The sequence below is a fragment of the Homo sapiens genome, chromosome 3 (assembly GCF_000001405.40).
Source record: "Homo sapiens chromosome 3, GRCh38.p14 Primary Assembly".
In the NCBI taxonomy this organism is placed as follows: domain Eukaryota; kingdom Metazoa; phylum Chordata; class Mammalia; order Primates; family Hominidae; genus Homo; species Homo sapiens.
This window is the reverse complement of record NC_000003.12, coordinates 17611480-17632262: the sequence shown is the minus strand read 5'-3', so window position 1 is coordinate 17632262 and position 20783 is coordinate 17611480. Positions and strand designations below refer to the sequence as shown.

The 20783-nt window shown below is 37.3% G+C and overlaps 1 protein-coding gene across 65 annotated transcripts in view; it reads left to right on the top strand.

The window, feature by feature from the left end:
- TBC1D5 (TBC1 domain family member 5) overlaps positions 1 to 20783 on the top strand; it is a 585470-nt gene that overhangs the window by 110369 nt on the left and 454318 nt on the right. For 34 of the 65 annotated variants that reach the window (XM_047449296.1, XM_011534283.4, XM_047449314.1 and 31 more), the window contains one exon: positions 8350 to 8414. The exons of 10 other annotated variants lie outside the window; for them this stretch is intronic. The gene's annotated coding sequence lies outside the window, so the exon portion shown is untranslated. Of the gene's footprint in view, positions 1 to 8349; positions 8415 to 9497; positions 9616 to 20783 lie in introns of all 65 variants that reach the window. 21 more of the 65 variants (XM_047449293.1, XM_011534284.3, XM_047449294.1 and 18 more) reach the window with 1 other exon arrangement.

Sequence of the window (20783 nt, the reverse complement as noted above, 5' to 3'; positions counted from 1 at the left end):
ACTTCTAATTCTTGTTTTGTGGCTGTTTCCACCCTGCCTGCAGTTCTTTACTCCACGGAAATATTGAAAACTCCTTCAAGTCATCCGTGAGGGTTCAAATAATCTTTTTCCAAACTCCTGTTAATGTTGATATTTTGACTTCCTCCCATGAATCATGATATATTTTTTGTGGGATTTAGAATGATGAATCCTTTCCAGAAGGTTTCAATTGACTTTGCCCAGATTCGTTAGAATAATCACTGTTTATGGCAGCAATAGCTTTAAAAAGTGTATTTCTTAAATAATAAGACTTGAAAGTCAGAATTACTTCTTGACTCATGGGCTGCAGAATGGATATTATATTAGCAAGCATGAAAACAACGTTAATCTCCTTGTACATCTTCACCAGAGCTCTTGGGTGGCCAGGCACATTGTCAATGAGCAGCAGTATTTTGAAAGGGATCTTTTTTTCTGAGCAGTAGGTCCACAGTGGGCTTAAAATGTTCAATAAATCACACTGCAAACAGATGTGCTGTCATCCAGGCATTTGTTGTTCCTTTTCTAGAGCACAGAGTAGAATTAGCATAACTCTTAAGGGCTTGAAGATTTACCAAATGGTCAATGAACATTGGCTTTAAAGTCACCAGCTGCATTAGACCTTAACAGAGTAGTCAACCTGTCCTTTGAATCTTTGAAGCCAGGCACTGATTTCTCCTGTCTAGCTATGAAAGTCCTAAATGGCATCTTCTTCTAATACATTGAAAGAAGATACTGTATATTGTTTCGTCTACATTGAATATCTGTTATTCAGTGTAGCCACCTTCATCAGTTATCTTAACTATTCTGGACAACTTGCTGCAGTTACTATATAAGTACTTGCTTCACTTTGCACTTTAATGTTATAGAGAAGGCTTCTTTTTTTCAACCGTAGGAATCAATGTCTGCTAGCTTCTAACTTTTCTTCTGCAGGTTTCTCACTACTGCCTCTCATCTTCATGGAATTGAAGAGAATTAGGGCTTTTCTCTGGATTAGACTTTGGTTTAAGGGGATGTTGTGGCTGTTTTGATGTTCTGTTTAGACCACACATGCTTTCTTCATATCGGCACTAAGGCTATTTTACTTTCTTAACATTCATGTGTTCATTGGAATAGCACTTTTAATTTTCTTTAGAACTTTTCCTTTGCATTTGCAACTTGGCTTTTTGGTTCAGGAGGCCTAACTTTTTTTTTTTTTTTTTTTGAGACGGAGTCTCACTCAGTCGTCCAGGCTAGAGTGCAGTGGTGCCATCTCGGCTCACTGCAACGTCTGCCTCCCGGGTTCACACCATTCTCCTGCTTCATCCTCCCGAGTAGCTGGGACTACAGGCCCCCGCAACCACACCCGGCTATTTTTTTTTTTTTTTTGTATTTTTAGTAGAGACGGGGTTTCACCGTGTTAGCCAGGATGGTCTCGATCTCCTGACCTCGTGATCGGCCCATCTCAGCCTCCCAAAGTGCTGGGATTACAGGCATGAGCCACCGTGCCCAGCCTGGGAGGCCTAACTTTTGGCCTGTCTTGGCTCTCAATAAAAATAGCTTTTTATTTCAAATGAGAGGCATACGATTCTTTCTTTCAGTTGAACACTAAGAGGCCGTTGTAAGGCCATTAATTGACCTAATTTCAGTATTGTCATATCTCAGGGAATAGGGAGGCCTGAGGAGAGAAGGGGAGAGATGGCAGAATGGCTGATCTGTGGAGCAGTCAGAACACATTCATTGATTAAGTTATCTGCTTTATTGGGTGTGGTTTGTGGTGCCCCAACATAATTATAATAGTAACATCAAAGGCCACTGATCACAGTTCACCATAGCAGATATGATAATAATGAAAACATTTGAAATATTGTGAGAATTATGGTAATGTGACATAGAGACATAAAGTGAGCACATACTGTTGGAAAAAATATTGTATCGCACATATATATGATAGACTTGCTCAACACAGGGTTACCACAAACGTACATTTGTAAAAAAAATGCAGCATCTGCAAAGCACAATAAAACAAAGCTCAATAAAAGTAGGTATGTCAGTATTTGCAGCTTGCTTGTGGAGTTTAATTCTTTTTAGGAAATTAGTTAACAGAAATGAAAAATGACTTGGTTGAGAACTTCCTCCTCTTAAGGTAAAAGTTTGCATTCTGTATTGGGGAAACTGATTTCGTGTCAAAAACATGTGCTAGTTAGCTGTGTGTGGGTATTGTGCTGAATAGGGTGATCATAAACCCAGTTTTCTTGGTACAGTTCCTCTGTTTGCCTGTCATCCTGCCTTATTTTTAGCCCTCATGTATTAGTTTTTTGTAACTTCTGTACAAATTATCACAAATTTAATGGTTTAAAACAACACAAGTTTTTAATTCTATAGTTCTGTAGGTCAGAAGTCCAGTATGAGATGTAGCATGCTAAAGTTCAAATGTCAGAAAATCCGTTTCCTGTGTATTCAGTTTTTTGGCAAAATTCAGTTCCTTGTGATTGCAGGACCCAGGCCCCCATTTTCTTGTTGCCTGTCAACTCAAGGCTGTTCCTAGCTTCTTTTGGGGGCCTATTATTTATGTATAAAGGTGCCACATGTTTTGTAATATGACTACTTACATCACTGTTTTACTTCTTTCTCACTAAAGCTTATTTTTCTCACATTCCTCAGTGTTTAGTAGCAAAGTAACTAGTGAGTCCTGAGTTTGTAGCATCTAAATTTGTATTGCTACTTGTGTTTGACTCTGTCCTTACACTGTTACATGTGAAGAAGAGGAATTAAGACAGACTTTTTTCCTCCCTCTACCTTTAGACTTTATTTTATACTAAAGAATTAACTGGGTATTACATTTATTTAAACAGCTGTTACAGAAACAAATAATTTTACTAGCACAGCTGCCTTTTAATAAAGTATTTGAATGTTTTAATTTCACTTTTTTGAAATTTTTTATTAGATTATACTACATTAATCAAAGACAACAATTATGTATTTTATGTGTATCTAATGGCTAAATTACCATTTATGTCTACTCTTCAACTTAAATTTGTAGTCTGGAATTTCCCCAAAGCACAGAATATAATTTGTATTCAAATGGATTAACTTGTTCTTTGGACAGCCTAAAAAAAAGACCAATTTATGATTTTCTATTCTATATTTTATTTTAATAAGCTAAATAGATATTTGATACTTGCTAATTTATACACACTTGTGTCCTTAATAATCCATCTGCATTTAGATTTAGTAATGCATAAGATAAAACTAATGCTACATACCTCTAAAGTTAATTTCTTTCTTTTCAGTTTACAATGCCAGTTTTACACTCCGTGTGCTGTCAGTGAAAATGTAGGCGGCAGACACAGCACATATTTATTATCACTGAGTTCACTATATCATACAGGAAAAGTATATTAATATGCCATACAGAAAATCTAACACACATAACCACTTAGCATTTTTAAGAACATATCTGACTTATTGGTTAGCTTAAATATCTTTTAGTAGAGTTAGACACCCACGTACAGTGAGTACATTCATATAAGTTATCCTAACAATTCCTAGTGCTGATGAATGAGCATCTCTCTTCTTTGCATATGATGGTAAAGATTATATATTATAAAGCTTTAACCTTTCCATTGGAATTCTAAATCTTGATACAATTAAACCGTTCCCAGGGTTCTTCAGATAGTTACACTCTGGAAAACGTTTTTCTAAAGCCTTATTTTACATTTAAATTTATGTTTCATGTTGGGTCTCTCTTCTTGTAGTTTATGTTGTTATTTTCTGTTTTAGGCCCATGGTGAAGTGGGGGGAGAGGGTGGGGACTTTTCCTGATTTCTGTGAATTCTATGTTCTTCTGTGGGCTCTACCATGCAAATTGGGTGTGTGTATTTTTTTTTTTTTTCCTAAGACAGAGTTTCACTCTTGTTGCCCAGGCTGGAGTGCAGTGGCGTGATCTTGGCTTCACTGCAGCCTCTACCTCCTGGGTTCTAGCAGTTCCCCTGCCCGGCCTCACAAGTAGCTGGGATTACAGGCATCCACCTCCATGCCTGGCTAATTTTTTGTATTTTTAGTAGAGAAGGGGTTTCGCCATGTTGGCCAGGCTGGTCTTAAACTCCTGGTCTCAGGTAATCCACCCTCCTCAGCCTTCCAAAGTGCTGGGATTATAGGTGTGAGCCACCACACCCGGCGGAGTGTGTGTATTTTTAAAAATAGGTACAATACTTGTTAGATTTTTTTTCTCATTGTAATATTTTATAGCATTTAGGAAATATAAAAATATAGTGTATAATTTATATGGATACTGACCTAAACCTGAGAGAGTAGTAATAAGAGCTAATGCAGATGTGAAAAAATACGAAAGTGAATATAATTGATATATAAAGCATAAAAAGCACGTGACAGTGTTTTTCTTTTAATCTTGTATGGGCATTTACTTTGCATGCTGTATGGACTCAGGACTTTTTAAAAGGAAAATGTCCAGCTTTTTCTTTTAGTGAAACAAAACAGTAAGAAATTATATGTTTAAAAGTTTTTGTTTCCTCAGATATTTAGTTTTCGTCTCTCATTTATATCCTAACATAGCCCCTCTCTCTCTCTCTCTCTCAAAAAAAAAAACCCAGAATATTTAAAAATTGTTCTTCCTTGCAGTACATTCTAAGACCCCGCTTGTTTAACAATGTTGGGTAAAGTTTTTGCAAGCACTCTCTTTATGGGCCTGTGTTCTCCTTTTTTGAGTTATTCCTTCTGTACTGGAACTCTCTTATATAGTCATTCCATTTTATTTGACTTTAGTTAATTTCCTCAGGTGTATTTATAGATTTTGTTAGTGTAGTATAATTTTCAGTCTCTGCTCTTTGTTCTTCCCTTCCTTTTCAAGATTTTAAACTATTATGTATTCACAGAGAACTCTAAAATCTATAGCTCTACTTTTAACCTCATTTTTATGTTTCCATCCCTCTGTCCCCTCACAGTGAATGTCTGGAACTGGAAGCATCGTCTTGCCACTGTCTGTCCGCTCCAGTCAGATCCAGCCATTCTTTGTTCCCTCCTGTTATCCTTCAGACTCTTTATCTTAGATCTAAGAATTCCTAGTCTTGTTCTCTCTTACCCATTATATCTCATTAGTCAATGTATTGTCTTAGTAGTTTTTGCTCCTGCCAGTTCTATACCATTCTCAAAAGCCTAGATGACTCCTCTGCAGCCTTATTCCTGGAATACTTTAGAAGTCTCTTAATTTGTACCCTGCTGTCCTCAAATCTGTCCTATGCATTGCCATCAGATTAATCTTCCTAAAGCATTGCTTTTACCCAGACAATCTCCTGCTTAGGAACCTTCATTGGCCCCACTTTGCCTAGAGATTGAAATTTAGACTTTCCAGCCTGGTATTTGAGGTTCTCTCATAAATTTGTCCTAGTTTTTTCCTCCACTGGCCAGTAACAAAAATGCTTTCATTTTTGTCAGGATGGTCCCAACATACTGAGAATGTTTTTACATTGGCATATCCTTCTTCATTTCTCAGTGTTTTGTGTCTTTTCTGCATTTTACTCTATGATGGCCTTTCTACTTTTTTTGTTTTGTCCACCTAAAGCTTAACGTACTTTTTTCCAACTTGCAGCTCTTGTCTTGCCCCCTCTGTGAAGTCTTTCTGCAATGGTTCTACTGTGATTTCACCATCTTCTGAATTCCTGTTTTGCTTTGTTGCTACTCACAAAGCACTTCCTGTTTAGTATTTTGTACTATTACTTGCTTTTGTTTTTCACTTGGGTCTAAGTCCTATGTTGCTGACTGGATTTTAAGTGTTAAGAAAGCAGGGACCATGTTATATTTCTTTGGATCTCTCTTAGCCATGTACAGTTCATTACAAATGCCCACTTATTTTTTTCCCGTAAATCTTAATTGGTTGCCTACACTCAAGCACCATTGATTAAAAAGTTAAACAAGAAAGGTATGGACTCAGCTTTCATGGACTTTATATTCTGGAAGAGAGAGAAAGATGCTCTACAGCTAATTTCTTAATTACCTACTTAGTTATAGTTGAAGAATGTGGTTTGTCATTTTTTTTGACAATCAGAAAACCTAGAAAATTGACCTCTTTTTTCCCCTCTGCTGTCATTGGTATTTATAATTTTTCTTACTTCACTAATAAATTTTGATTAGGGTAAATTATTCTTGAAAGTGTAGGTCTTCAAATGGTCCAACTTAATTCTTTTCTTCTAAATACACATAATGCTATATATCTGGGTAAATTCAGTAGACAACATAATGGAAAGAATGATTAATTGGTGCCCGACATTAAAATAATTTTAGTAAATTTTATGTCATTTATGTGATACGTAAACTCATGTGAAATAGTTAAAAGATAATGAAAATAATTCTAAAAGGAAGATTTTCTAAACTCAAACAACTAGGAATTTTTAGTTAATATACTAAAGCTATCTTCTGTAGGAGAATAAGATTAGATTGAAAGTAGATATGTTATGCATAGATACATTATTTTTTTGCTTCAGGTGTTTTTATCTAGTGGCATGAACAATGTCATATATTTCATAGGCATGATTTTTTGAGGTTGTAATAACCATAGAAAGTTAATGCTGAAAGAATGGCAAAATATGCAGTGAAACTAAAAATTATTGTATTTGCAAATATAAAAACATAATTTACATAAATGTTATAGTTAGGAACATTATGAATGTAAATATGCCTTCTGTATTCTCAGTCTTGTAATGCCATTCTTTGTCCAGTTGGAGATGAAGAGTGATGTTGAGATGGGTGTTTAACCTATTTTAACAGCCTTAAAAAAATTAAATATCGTTGATGTAAATATGAGAAGGGAAGAGAATATTTATCTCCATTAAGTGACATAAAAAACCGTGGTAAGAATAACAGGCAGTGGGTATGCCCTAAGTAGTAAAATCCCTGAATTCAGATGCTAATTATAAGCACAAGGACACTTGCCTCCTACATACTTACATGTATATTTTCTTTAGTCAAAGTGTAATTCAGAGTTCTTGAAGTGCTGAATATGGCCTTTGTTTTTTCATTTCCCTTTAGCATACATATTAAAAAAACAATAAGACACTTCTGCTGGACTGTGATTTTGATGGATATAGGTGGAATATTTAACCAAATGCTATGAAGATAAATTCAAATGTTTGCTCTTGGATTGTCTTTATTGTGTGACTTCCCTGCTTCTTAATATTAAAAAACAAATGTTTAGTAGTAAAGGTAAAATTATTTAAACATATTTGAGCACATTTTACTTGCTTCCGGTGGTTTACCAAGGACTTTAAGGCTTAGATTGTGAAAGGATGTATTAATACTGGTATTAAGAGTATATTTGTTTAGATGATTATGGACTTTAAATTTTATTTTAGACGTTCTCTCTGGCGTCTTGTCATAAAAGTTACGTGTTGTTTTACTTCATTAGCAGTTTTAACATTTTTAAGTATCCGAGAAGAAAAACTTCCTCTGCATTTTGAACAGGGTCTTTCATTGGTGGTTTTGTAACATGTTCTTCAGTTGTTGAGAGGTGTATATAGTACAGATACCCTGTTCTTAGAAAGTAATGAGCTTTTAAGTTGTAGAGTAGTAGGAAAAGTCTAATGGACTTAAATTATTTTAAAATTTGTTTTTAGAAATAGAAGTAAAAGAAAGCCTTTTGTAATCTTGCTATTTTTTTTGTTCTTAGGTATGCCTTTTATTTAGCTTTTAGTAACTTGTAATTTAAGATCACAGTTATTAGGTGTATTTCTGCATTTTATATATCACTCCCAGATGCTACAGTATTAGTTTTTATCACTGCATATTTTATGAAATGTCAGCCTTCTGTTGGCTGTTCACGCAGCATTGTTAGTGATCAAAGACACAACATAAAGGAGAGGAATCTAAACAGTTGGCTTATCTTTGTCCTTCGTTGTGACAAAAATACTCTAAAATTGCTTAATTATAAAAAAATAAAGGCATCATGTAACATGCAAAGAAATAAGTATCTTTGTGTTTTAGTGAAATAAAATCTCAGTGTTTAATATCAAGAAACATAAAGAGAATTACTATCTAATTTTACAAAGTTTTCCTTGTTAAGGAATGAGGGTAATATGTCGTGTGTAATTTTGTAATACTTTGCTAAATGACAGTGCTGTGCCTAGGAAAAGCCACACAGTGTTTGACATCATAAGAGGTTACTCAGTATAAACCCTTAATTTTGTTACACAAAATACGTTCTAGAAAAGTGGTTATTAGCTTTAGTATGTACATTAAGTTGTATATGAATCAGTTTATTAAAATATTTTCTTGAATTGATCTACTTTGTATTTAAAAACTATTTCATAGATTTAAAGATCCTTTTTTTTTTCTTTATTTCAGTGATATCAGTATCAAGATAAAAGTTTGGAATGGGAGAAAAATTCTCAAAGCCTGAAAGAAAATCTGTAAGAATAAAATTCTTGAATGATTTTGATCAGCTGTCATGTATGCCCAACACAGCAGTTGGTTTAATCAATTTTATGTTTTGGGATGGTTTTATTAAAATGAGCTGCTGCTTTCAGTAAATCATTGAGAAAGATGCTGGCTTCATACATGTCTTTTTTGGTTGGGGGCAGGGCCTACAATTGCAGCCTTGTAAGTCAGTACAATTGGAGACAGTTCCTGGCTGCCGTGAAAGTCAGTGTGCTTCTGTGTTGGTATGGGCATTTGGAAAGACAGGTAGAACGAAGATTTAGACTAAAAATGATTTTAGATAATTGTACTTTTATGGCACTCTGCAGGAAACTGCCATTTCTAGTAAAACATAATCATCAGCAGATAATAGGGATTTAAGTGTATCTTCAGTTTTTGTGTACAGTTTCTGTGTTAATGAAAGTTAATTGTTTTCCGATGGAAGAATCAAATCTTCAGAAAGTAGTTTGAAAGACATAGCCATTGGATATGAGTTAGGGGCCTCAACATTTTGTCCTGATACGCATTATACACTTACTATCCAAACTATGGTCTGTACATAGACAGTATTGGTGTTACCTGAGAGCGTCCTAGATACGCAGAATCTGAGACCTAACCCCATACCTACTAAGTCAGAATCTGTGTTTCATCAAAATTTCTAGGTCATTCATATGAATATTAAACTCTGAGAAGCACTGCCATAATTCAGACCTTTCATTTTCTCTGTGTGTATGTGTGTTTTAATTGTGGGGTGCTCATAGTGGAGTTGGTTATCCGTAGTTCAAGAATTGGGAGAGGAAGTGGAAACTCACACCAGAATTTTATTGGGGGCCCAGGAGTAGACAGACAGTTAATTTAGAGCTCATAGGCTTTTGGTCTTTAAGCAATTGCAATTTGAATCAGTAGCTACTTTGTGTATTATGTAGAAAGCTTCATGTCACCCTGGTAGTATTAATCAGGTGTTTTCTTTTGGCCATGGCAGTATCTTCTTATGTTCACAGGTACTTAAGATGTTTTCTGCCAGTCATAGTGTAGTAAACATTTCCAAAGTGTGTTCTATGGTATATTTTTTCCAGGAGATGCTTGGAGTGTAAAGATCCCATGGTCACATAAATCCGGAAAGCACTGAATACTTTGTTTCCCATAAGAGAATCCCATTATATGTTGATGTATTAAAAGACCTGAGAACCTGGTGTAAGTAACTTAGTTCAATTCAGTATTTCCCAAATTTACTAGACTATAGCATCCTTTTTTTTTTTAAGAAAAAAAAAATCTTAATTTTTTTCCTTTAACATGTGCACAAACTGACTTCTTTCCACATTTATTTATCTTACTCAAAATAAGAGATATGGACAACTTCTGAAATTGTGATGTTATACCACATAAAACATACTTTCCAATATTGCTACGCATAAATGGTACTGATAAGACTCTTGTGTACTGAAGGGGCTACACATGCAGACATTTTTGAGGATTGGAGTAACTGAGAAGTCATTTAGAACAGGGGTCCCCAATCCCCTGGTCATGGACTGGGACCGGTCCACAGCCTGTTAGGAATGGGGCCACACAGCAAGAGGTGAATGGTGAGTAGATCAGCAGCAGCATTAGATTCTCATGGGTGTGCAAACCCTGTTACGAATTGTGTATGCGAGGGATCCACATTGCTCATTCCTTATGAGAATCTGATGCCTGATGATCTGAGGTGTAACAGTTTGATTTCGAAACCATCTCTCCCCAGCTCCCTTCCCATTCATGGAAAAACTGTCTTTCACAAAGCCAGTCCCTGGTGCCAAAAAGGTTGGTGACTGCTTAATTAGAAAGTGAGCATAGAACTTATCCCAATCAGATTTGATGGATGAATGAAAGGAAGAAAACTGACTGTTCTTAGTGTTTGCTGGAAAGAGGAAAACCATGAGCAATGGGATAAATTAAACATTTCAGTTGAATAAATGTTTACCAAATTGCTAATAAAGAATAGGCTCTGTACTTGGCCTTGGGCAAACAATAGTGTAAAATATACAGTCTGCCCTCTAGTTGCTTATTGGAGTGAGCATAGTACATTCTGATAAATGTACAAGAGCTAGAATCCAGAACATAGAATTTTCCTTGTGGATTTGTTTAAAAAAAAAAAAAAGTTAGCGAGAATACTATATCATGGAGTGCTAGAGACAGGACACAACTGTAGTGATAGATGTCTCTGGTTAGGGGAAACAGAGGAAAGGACAATTATGGGACAGAATTTCAAAAGGTAAGATTGGGAAGACCAAACAGCTTTAGAAGTCATAGAGCTTTTGGTACTCAAATTGCCCAGGTTTGGTTAGTTGAAGTGCATGACAGTCCTCCATCACATATTTCAGTGCTTCCTTAATTTCTGACAAAAGAAGTTGTTGCAGGATTATCTTTTATCTGTTTTGCCCCAGCTTTGGAAGCAGCCATTTCTCTGAGGAGCTCTGATTGTTTTTAGTGGGAATAATATTAGCGAACAAGATCTTGGCACTAGTGTGTTGATTGCTACTGGGTCTTGGCTTTTAGGCCCTTTTAGAGGACAGAGGTAGGAAATATATAAGCTTTATGTATACACATGCATCTGTATTTATACATATATACACAAATGCATATTGAAAAACATACATGGACACATACATCTGCATTTTTTTTTATTTAGAGATATACCAGTTTCTCTAATTCTAATCCATCCACACAGGTTTCTTGCTTGCTTGCTTCTCATATTTATATGTCCCGTCTTTCACAGTGAGAACCTTGGCTTCCAACAGTATCAACACATTTACTTTTTTGTTCAACTAAATAATAGATCTAAAACAGTTTCAAGATTGGTTAATCATATAAGAAACAAACATACCAAAAAAAGTTTGAAATTTGTTTGAAGTTCTCCCTCCTTTTTGTACTCATTCCTGTGGGTATGTAACCAAATACTGTTCTCATAATTACTTAGTTCTTTCTTTCTTATTCCTTAAGTGTGTTTATGATATTAATTTGAAATATAGTTCACTTGTATTAGTTTTCTTTCAGCTTTTGTGCCCCCTTTCTTTACATCCTTATTGATTTAATTTTTTGAATATATAGGAAATTATTTACTTTTCCAAAAAGTAAAACTGTACAAAAAGGTATACTCAGAAAATTGTCACTCCTTCCTCCCCATTCCACCCCATACTTTGTAGGAAACCAATTTTATTGTTTTCTGGGCTTTACTTATTTTTATAAAGATAACGCAGAGATATTTATGTTGTCTTATTTTTCTTGTTTTTACCTAAAAAGTAGCATATATGTTCTTTTGCAGTTCACTTTTTTCATGTATCAGTATCTCTTGGAAATTACCTCATATAAGTTTGTAGAGATTTTCCTCATTCGTTTTTGCAGGTGCTTACTACTTTGTGTGTGCCGTAGTTTCTTCAACCAATCTCTTATGCTTGCGCATTTAAGTAGTTTCCACTATTTTACAATTACAAATATGCTGCAATGATACTTACTTTCGTAGTTTTACAGGTGTATCTTCAGGGCAAATTCCTGGAAATGGGATTGCTGGTTGAAGGGGCAAATACTAAGCCCGGTGTAGTGGCTTGCCCCTGTAATCCCAGCTACTTGAGAGGATCCCCTGAGCCCAGGAGTTCAAGGCTGCAGTGAGCTATTACACTCCAATCTGGGTGACAGAGTGAGACTTTGTTGCTAACAACAACGGCAAAAAGGTTCAAAGGGCAAATACTTACTTAGTTTTATTAGAATATTGCCCAGTTCCCTGCATGGGGGCTGTAACATTTTGCCTTCCCTGCTGCAGTGTATGAGAGTGCTTGTTTCCCTACAGCCTTGCAAACAGAGTGCATGGTGAAACTTCCATTTTTGCCAAGTGATAGGTGAGAAATGGAATTTTGGGTACATTTAATTTGCATTCATCTTTTATGTGTGGATTTGAATGTCTTTTCATATGTATAAGAGCAACTTTCCATAGGATATTTGGGCTTTCCCCCCAGTTTTAGAAGTTCTTTGTAGGGATATTAGGCATTTATCTGTGATATATGTTGCAAATGTTTCCTTCCAGTTTGTTACCTGTTTTTTGATGTTGCTTCTCATGTATTTTTGTCCTGCGAAATTTTATATCTGTACTTTAGTTCTATTGAGAAAGCGTTTTCTTTTATGAATTCTTAGTTTATAGGAAGAATCCCTCTCTCCTGCTCCCTGCACTTTTAAAAAGTACTTGTAGTTTTCTTATGATTAGATCTCTGATCCATTTGCAGTTTATTTTTATGTATGATATGAGAAACATTGAATTTTATCTTTTTTTCTCGTCTATTGTTTAAAATGACTATAACTGTGCTAATGATTTATTATATCACCTTTACAGATATTAGATTTCTATCTGTAGTGGAATTTATTTCTGGATTTTCTGTTCATTTGCACTGTTCTGCCTGTTCATGTAGCAGTCCTACACTGTTTTCATTATAGCAGCTTTGTAGTATGTTTTAATGCTTGTAGTATGTGTTAATGAGATAGTCCCCTCATATCTATTTATTTTCAGTATTTCCCAGTTTTTCTTGAACTTTTTCCATTTGAACTTCAGTATCAACTTGTCTAACTCCGTAAAAAGCTTTATGATTTGTAAGTTTGTGACCTATTGATGTTGAGATGTTCTAACCAAGGACAGGGTATTTCTTTTTCAGTTGTACAGTCCTACTTTTCTATGTTTTAAGAATGTTTATTTTTCTTTATGTAGGTTTTGAACATTTCTGTTTATTCCTAAATATTTTACTTTTTAAAATTACTATTAAAAAGGGGCTTTCTGAAAAAATTCCATTCCAAGATGGCTGAATAGGAACAGCTCCGGTCTGCAGCTCCAAGTGTGATGAATGCAGAAGACGGGTGATATCTGCATTTCCAACTGAGGTACCTGGTTCATCTCACTGGGACTGGTTGGACAGTGGGTGCAGCCCATGGAGGGTGAGCTGAAGCAAGGCGGGGCATCACCTCAACTGGAAAGTGCAAGGGGTCGAGGATTTCCCTTTCTTAGCCAAGGGAAGCCGTGACAGACTATACCTGGAAAAACGGGACACTCCCACCCAAATACTGTGATTTTCCCATGGCCTTAGTAACCAGCAGACCAGGAGATTCTCTCCCATTCCTGGCTCAGCAGGTCCCATGCCCATGGAGCTTTGCTCACTGCTAGCACAGCAGTCTGAGATCTAACAACGAGGGTGCAGCCTGGCTGGGGGAGGGGCGTCCCCCATTGCTGAGGCTTAAGTAGGAAAACAAAGCAGCCGGGAAGCTCGAACTGGGCAGAGCCCAGTGCAGCTCAGCAAGTTCTATTGCCTCTATAGACTCCACCTCTGTGGGGAGGGCATAGCTGAAGAAAAGGCAGCAGAAACTTCTGTAGACTTAAACGTCCCTGTCTAACAGCTCTGAAGAGAGCAGTGGTTCTCCCAGCACAGCATTTAAGCTCTGAGAATGGACAGACTGCCTACTCAAGTTGGTCCCTGACCCCCATGTAGCCTAACTGGGAGACATCTCCCAGTATGGGCCGACAGACACCTCATACAGGCGGGTGCCCCTCTGGGATGAAGCTTCCAGAGGAAGGATCAGGCAGCAATAATTGCTGTTCTGCAGCCTCCACTGGTGATACCCAGGCAAACAGAGTCTGGAGTGGACCTCCAGCAAACTCCAACAGACCTGCAGCTGAGGGACCTGTTAGAAGGAAAACTAACAAACAGAAAGGAATAGCATCAACACCAACAAAAAGGACATCTACACCAAAACCCCATCTGCAGGTCACCAACATCAAAGACCAAAGGTAGATAAAACCACAAAGATGGGGAGAAACCAGAGCAGAAAAGCTGAAAGTTCTAAAAACTGGAGCGCCTGTTCTCCTCCAAAACATCGCAGCTCCTTGCCAGCAACAGAATAAAGCTGTATGGAGGAAGACTTTGATGAGTTGACAGAAGTAGGCTTCAGAAGGTCAGTAATAACAAACTTCTTTGAGCTAAAGGAGCCATGCTCTAACACATCGCAAGGAAGCTAAAAACCTTGAAAAAAGGTTAGACGAATGGCTAACTAGAATAAACAGCATAGAGAAGACCTTAAATGACCTGATGGAGCTGAAAACCATGGCACGAGAACTTCGTGATGCACGCACAAGCTTCAATAGCAGATTTGATCAAGTGGAAGAAAGGGTATCAGTGATTGAAGATCAAATTAATGAAATAAAGCGAGAAGACAAGTTTAGAGAAGAAAAGAGTAAAAAGAAGCAAACGAAGCCTACAAGAAATATGGGACTGTGTGCAAAGACCAAATCTACGTTTGATTGGTGTACCTGAAGCTGACATGGAGAATGGACCCAAGTTGGAAAACAGTCTTCAGGATATTATCCAGGAGAACTTCCCCAACCTAGCAAGGCAGGCCAACATTCAAATTCAGGAAATACAGAGAACACCACAAAGATACTCCTTGGAAAAATTCTTGAGAAGAGCAACCCCAAGACATATAATTGTCAGATTCACCAAGGTTGAAATGAAGGAAAAAATGTTAAGGGCAGCCAGACAGAAAGGTCGAGTTACCCACAAAGGGGAGCCCATCAGACTAACAGCGGATCTCTCGGCAGAAACCCTATAAGCCAGAAGAGAGTGGGAGCCAATATTCAACATTCTTAAAGAATTTTCAACCCAGAATTTCATATCCAACCAAACTAAGCTTCATAAGTGAAGGAGAAATAAAATCCTTCACAACTAAATGCTGAGAGATTTTGTCATCACCAGGCCTCCCTTACAAGAGCGAGCTCCTGAAGGAAGCAGTAAACATGGAAAGAAACAACGATATGAGCAACTGCAAAAACATGCCAAATTGTAAAAACCATCAATGCTATGAAGAAACTGCATCAATTAACGGGCAAAATAACCAGTGAACATCATAATGACAGGATCAAATTCACACATAACAATATTAACCTTAAATGTAAATGGGCTAAATGCCCCAATTAAAAGACACGGACTGGCAAATTGGATAAAGAGTCAAGACCCATCACTGTGCTGTATTCAGGAGACCCATCTCAGGTGCAGAGACACACATAGGCTAAAAATAAAGGGATGGAGGCAGACCTACCAAGCAAATGGAAAGCAAAAAAAGGCAGGGGTTGCAATCCTAGTCTCTGATAAAACAGACTATAAGCCAATAAAGATCCAAAGAGACAAAGAAGGCCATTACATAATGGTAAAGGGATCAATTCAACAAGAAGAGCTAACTATCCTAAATATATATGCACCCAATACAGGAGCACCCAGTTTCAAAAAGCAAGTCCTTAAAGACCTACAAAGAGACTTAGACTCCCACACAATAATAATGGGAGACTTTAACATTCCACTGTCAGTATTAGACAGATCACCGAGACAGAAGGTTAACAAAGATATCCAGGACTAGAACTCAGCTCTGCACTAATTGGATCTAATAGACATCAATAGAAGTCTCCACCCCAACTCAACAGAATATGCATTCTTCTAAGCACCATATTGTACTTATTCTAAAATTGACCACATAATTGGAAGTAAAGCACTCCTCAGCAAATGTAAAAGAACATAAATCACAACAAGCTGCCTCTCAGACCACAGTGCAATCAAATTAGAACTCAGGATTAAGAAACTCACTCAAAACCGCACAACTACATGGAAACTGAACAATTTGCTCCTGAATGACTACTGGGTAAATAACGAAATGAAGGCAGAAATAAAGATGTTCTTTGAAACCAATGAGAACAAAGACACAACGTACCAGAATCTCTGGGACACATTTAAAGCAGTGTGTAGAGGGAAATTTATAGCTCTAAATGCCCACAAGAGAAAGCAGGAAAGATCTGAAATCGACACCCTAACGTCACAATTAAAAGAACTAGAGAAGCAACAGCAAACAAATTCAAAAGCTAGCAGACGGCAAGAAATAACTAAGATCAGAGAAGAACTGAAGGAGATAGAGACACAAAAAATGCTTCAAAAAATGCAATGAATCCAGGAGCTGGTTTTTTGAAAGGATCAACAAAATTGATAGACCGCTAGCAAGACTAATAAAGAAGAAAAGTGAGAAGAATCAAATAGATGCAGTCAAAAGTGATAAAGGGAATATTATCACTGATCCCACAGAAATACAAACTACCATCAGAGAATACTATAAATATCTCTACGCAAAGCAACTAGAAAATCTAGAAGAAATGGATGAATTCCTGGACACATACACCCTCCTAAGACCAAACGAGGAAGAAGTTGAATCTCTGAATAGAACAATAACAGGCTCTGAAATTGAGGCAATAATGAATAGACTACCAACCAAAAAAAAAGTCCAGGACCAGACGGATTCACAGCTGAATTCTACCAGAGGTACAAAGAGGAGCTGGTACCATTCCTTCTGAAAGTATTCCAATCAATAGAAAAGAGGGAATCCTCCCTAACTCATTTTACAAGGCCAGCATCATTCTGATACCAACACCTGGCAGAGACATAGCAAAAAAAATAGAATTTTAGACCAATATCCCTGATGATCATCGATGCAAAAATCCTCAATAAAATACTGACAAACTGAATCCAGCAGCATATCAAAAAGTTTATCCACCACGATCAGGTCAGCCTCATCCCTGGGTTGCAAGGCTGGTTCAACATACACAAGTCAATAAAAGTAATTCATCACATAAACAGAACTAACAACAAAAACCACATGATTATCTCAATAGATGCAGAAAAGGCCTTCAACAGAATTCAACAGCCCTTCATGCTAAAAACTCTCAATAAACTAGGTATTGATGGAACATATCTCAAAATAATAAGAGGTATTTATGACAGACCCACAGCCAATATCATATTGAATGGGCAAAAACTGGAAGCATTCCCTTTGAAAACCAGCACAAGACAAGGATGCCATCTCTCACCACTCCTATTCAACATAGTGTTGGAAATTCTGGCCAGGGCAATCAGGCAAGAGAAAGAAATAAAGGATATTCAATTAGGAAAAGAGGAAGTCAAATTGTCCCAGTTTGCAGATGACATGATTGTGTATTTAGAATGCCCCATCATCTCAGCCCAAAATCTCCTTAAGCTGATAAGCAACTTCAACAAAGTCTCAGGATACAAAATCAATGTGCAAAAATCACAGGCATTCCTATACACCCGTAACAGACAAACAGCCAAATCATGAGTGAACTCCCATTCACAATCGCTACCAAGGGAATAAAATACCTAGGAATCCAACTTACAAGGGATGTGAAGGATCTCTTCAAGGAGAACTACAAACCACTGCTCAACGAAATAAAAGAGGACAGAAACAAATGGAGGAACATTCTATGCTCATGGATAGGAGGAATCAACATTGTGAAAATGGTCATACTGCCCAGGGTAATTTATAGATTCAATACCATCGCCATCAAGCTACCAATGACTTTCTTCACAGAATTCGCAGAAACTACTTTAAAGTTCATATGGAACCAAAAAAGAGCCCGCATTGCGAAGACAATCGTAAGCGAAGAGAACAAAGCTGGAGGCATCAAGCTACCTGACTTCAAACTATACTACAAGGCTACAGTAACCAAAACAGCATGGTACTTGGTACCAAAACAGATATATGGAGCAATGGAACATAACAGAGGCCTCAGAAATAACACCACACATCTACAACCATCTGATCTTTGACAAACCTGACAAAAACAAGAAATGGGGATAGGATTCTTTATTTAATAAATGGTGCTGAGAAATCTGGCTAGCCATATGTGTAAAGCTGAAACTGGATCCCTTCCTTACCCCTTACACAAAAGTTAATTGAAGATTGATTAAGCAGTTGAATGTTAGACCGAAAACCATAAAAACTCTAGAAAAAACCTAGGGAATACCATTCAGGACATAGGTATGGTCAAGGACTTCATGACTGAAACACCAAAAGCAATGGCAACAAAAGCCAGAATTGACAGATGGGATCTAATTAAACTAAAAAGCTTCTGCATAGCAAAAGAAACTACCATCAGAGTGAACAGGCAACCTACAGAATGGGAGAAAATTTTTACACTCCACCCATCTGACAAAGAGCTAATATCCAGAATCTACAAAGAACTTAAGCAAATTTACAAGAGAAAACCAAACAACCAAATCAAAAAGTGGGCAAAGGATATGAAAAGGCTCTTCTCAAAAGAAGACATTTATGCAGCCAACAGAAACATGAAAAAATACTCACTATCACTGGTCATCAGAGAAATGCAAGTCAAAACCACAGTGAGATACCATCTCATGCCAGTTAGAATGGCGATCATTAAAAAGTCAGGAAACAACAGATGCTGGAGAGGATGTGGAGAAATAGGAACACTTTTACACTGTTGATGGGAGTGTAAATTAGTTCAACCATTGTGGAAGGCAGTGTGGCGATTCCTGAAGGATCTAAAACTAGAAATACTATTTGACCTAGCAATCCCATTACTGGGTATATACCCAAAGGATTGTTAATCATGCTACTATAAAGAAACATAGACACGTATGTTTATTGTGGCACTATTCACGATAGCAGAGACTTGGAACCAACCCAAATGTCCATCAATGATAGACTGTATTAAGAAAATGTGGCCCATATACACCATGGAATACTATGCAGCCATAAACAATGATGAGTTCATGTCCTTTGCAGGGACGTGGATGAAGCTGGAAACCATCATTCTCAGCAAACTATCTCAAGGACAGAAAACCAAACACTGCATGTTCTCACTCATAGGTGGGAATTGAACAATGAGAACACTTGGACACAGGGAAGGGAACATCACACACCGGGGTCTGTTGTGGGGTGAGGGGTTGGGGAAGGGATATCATTAGGAGAAATATGTAATGTAAATGACTTGTTGAGGGGTGCAGCAAACCAACATGGCACATGTATACATATGTAACAAATTTGCATGTTGTGCACATGTACCCTAGAACTTTAATAAAAAAAAAAAAAAAAGAAAAGGGGGCTTTCTCATCCCTTATGTATTCTAATTGTTACTTGTGTATAGAAGTGTAACTGTTTTTTTTTCGTGTTCATTTTGTATCCTGCTACCTTGCTGAATTCTTTTGTTTATTGAGTTTTATTTTCAGTTTTCTAGGATTTCCCAGGTATTCCCTCAGGTCATCTGAAAATAGTTTTATTTCTTCTTTTCTAGTTCTTCTATGTATAATTATTTTCTCTACTAGTTTGTTTATTTTATTTTTTATTTTTTTTGAGATAGAGTATCACTCTTGTCACCCAGGCTTGAGTGAAGTGGTGCGATCTCGGCTCACTGCTACCTCTGCCTCCCGGGTTCAAGGTATTCTCCTGCCTCAGCCTCCCGAGTAGCTGGGATTACAGGCGCATGCCACCATGCCCGACTAATTTTCGTATTTTTTTAGTATAGACGGGGTTTCTCTTTGTTGGCCAGGCTGGTCTCGAACTCCTGACCTCCGGTGATCCACTTGCCTCGGCCTCCAAAATGCTGGGGTTACAGGTATGAGCCACCGCGCCTAGCCTCTACTCATTTTATTTCTTCTTTTCAATTCTTTTTTTTTTTTTTTTTGAGACGGTGTCTTAGTCTGTCACCCAGGCTGGAGTACAGTGGCACAATCATGGCATACTGTAGCCTAGACCCCTGGGGCTCAAGTGATTCTCCCACCTCAGCCTTCCAAGTAACTGGGACTACAGGTACACACCACCACACCCAGCTAATTTTTTTATTTTTTGTAGATAAGGCGTTTCACCATGTTACCCAGGCTGGTCTCCTACTCCTGGGCTCAAGCAGTCTACTCGCTTGGCCTCCCAGTATGCTAGGATTAGGGGTGAGCCACTGTGCCCTGCCTTCTTTTCAATTCTTATTTCTTAATATTTTCAGTGTTCTCTAGCCTAATTTCATCAACAAATAATATTCAGAATAGAGTAGTATTGGGCATCCTTGCATTGTTCCTGAAGTTAGTGTGGATGAATAATGTTTAGTGAGAACTATCAGTGGTAGAAAAGATAGAACTACTTGAGATAATGCATTATTCTTAGCATTTTATAGGCATTATAACATAGAATCCTCCATATCATTTCACTTTCTTTTTACAGGCAACTTTTTTGAAGGACTTATCTCTACTTTGCTACCTTTTCATCTTTATTTTCTCATCTCCCATTGTTACTCCTTATAGGATAGCACTCCACTCTGGTTTCTCAGTTGTCCAAACAGGTGCCAACTAAAGTTGCTATTGAGACTTAAAAATGCTAAATCTAATGGGTCTTTTGTCCCCCCATCTTCATCTTGCTTTTCCTCTTAATATCATTCAGCATTGCTGATCATGCCTTCATCTAAGTATACTTTTCCTTCTTGGCTGCTGTAAACGTCACATTCTTCAGGTTATTTC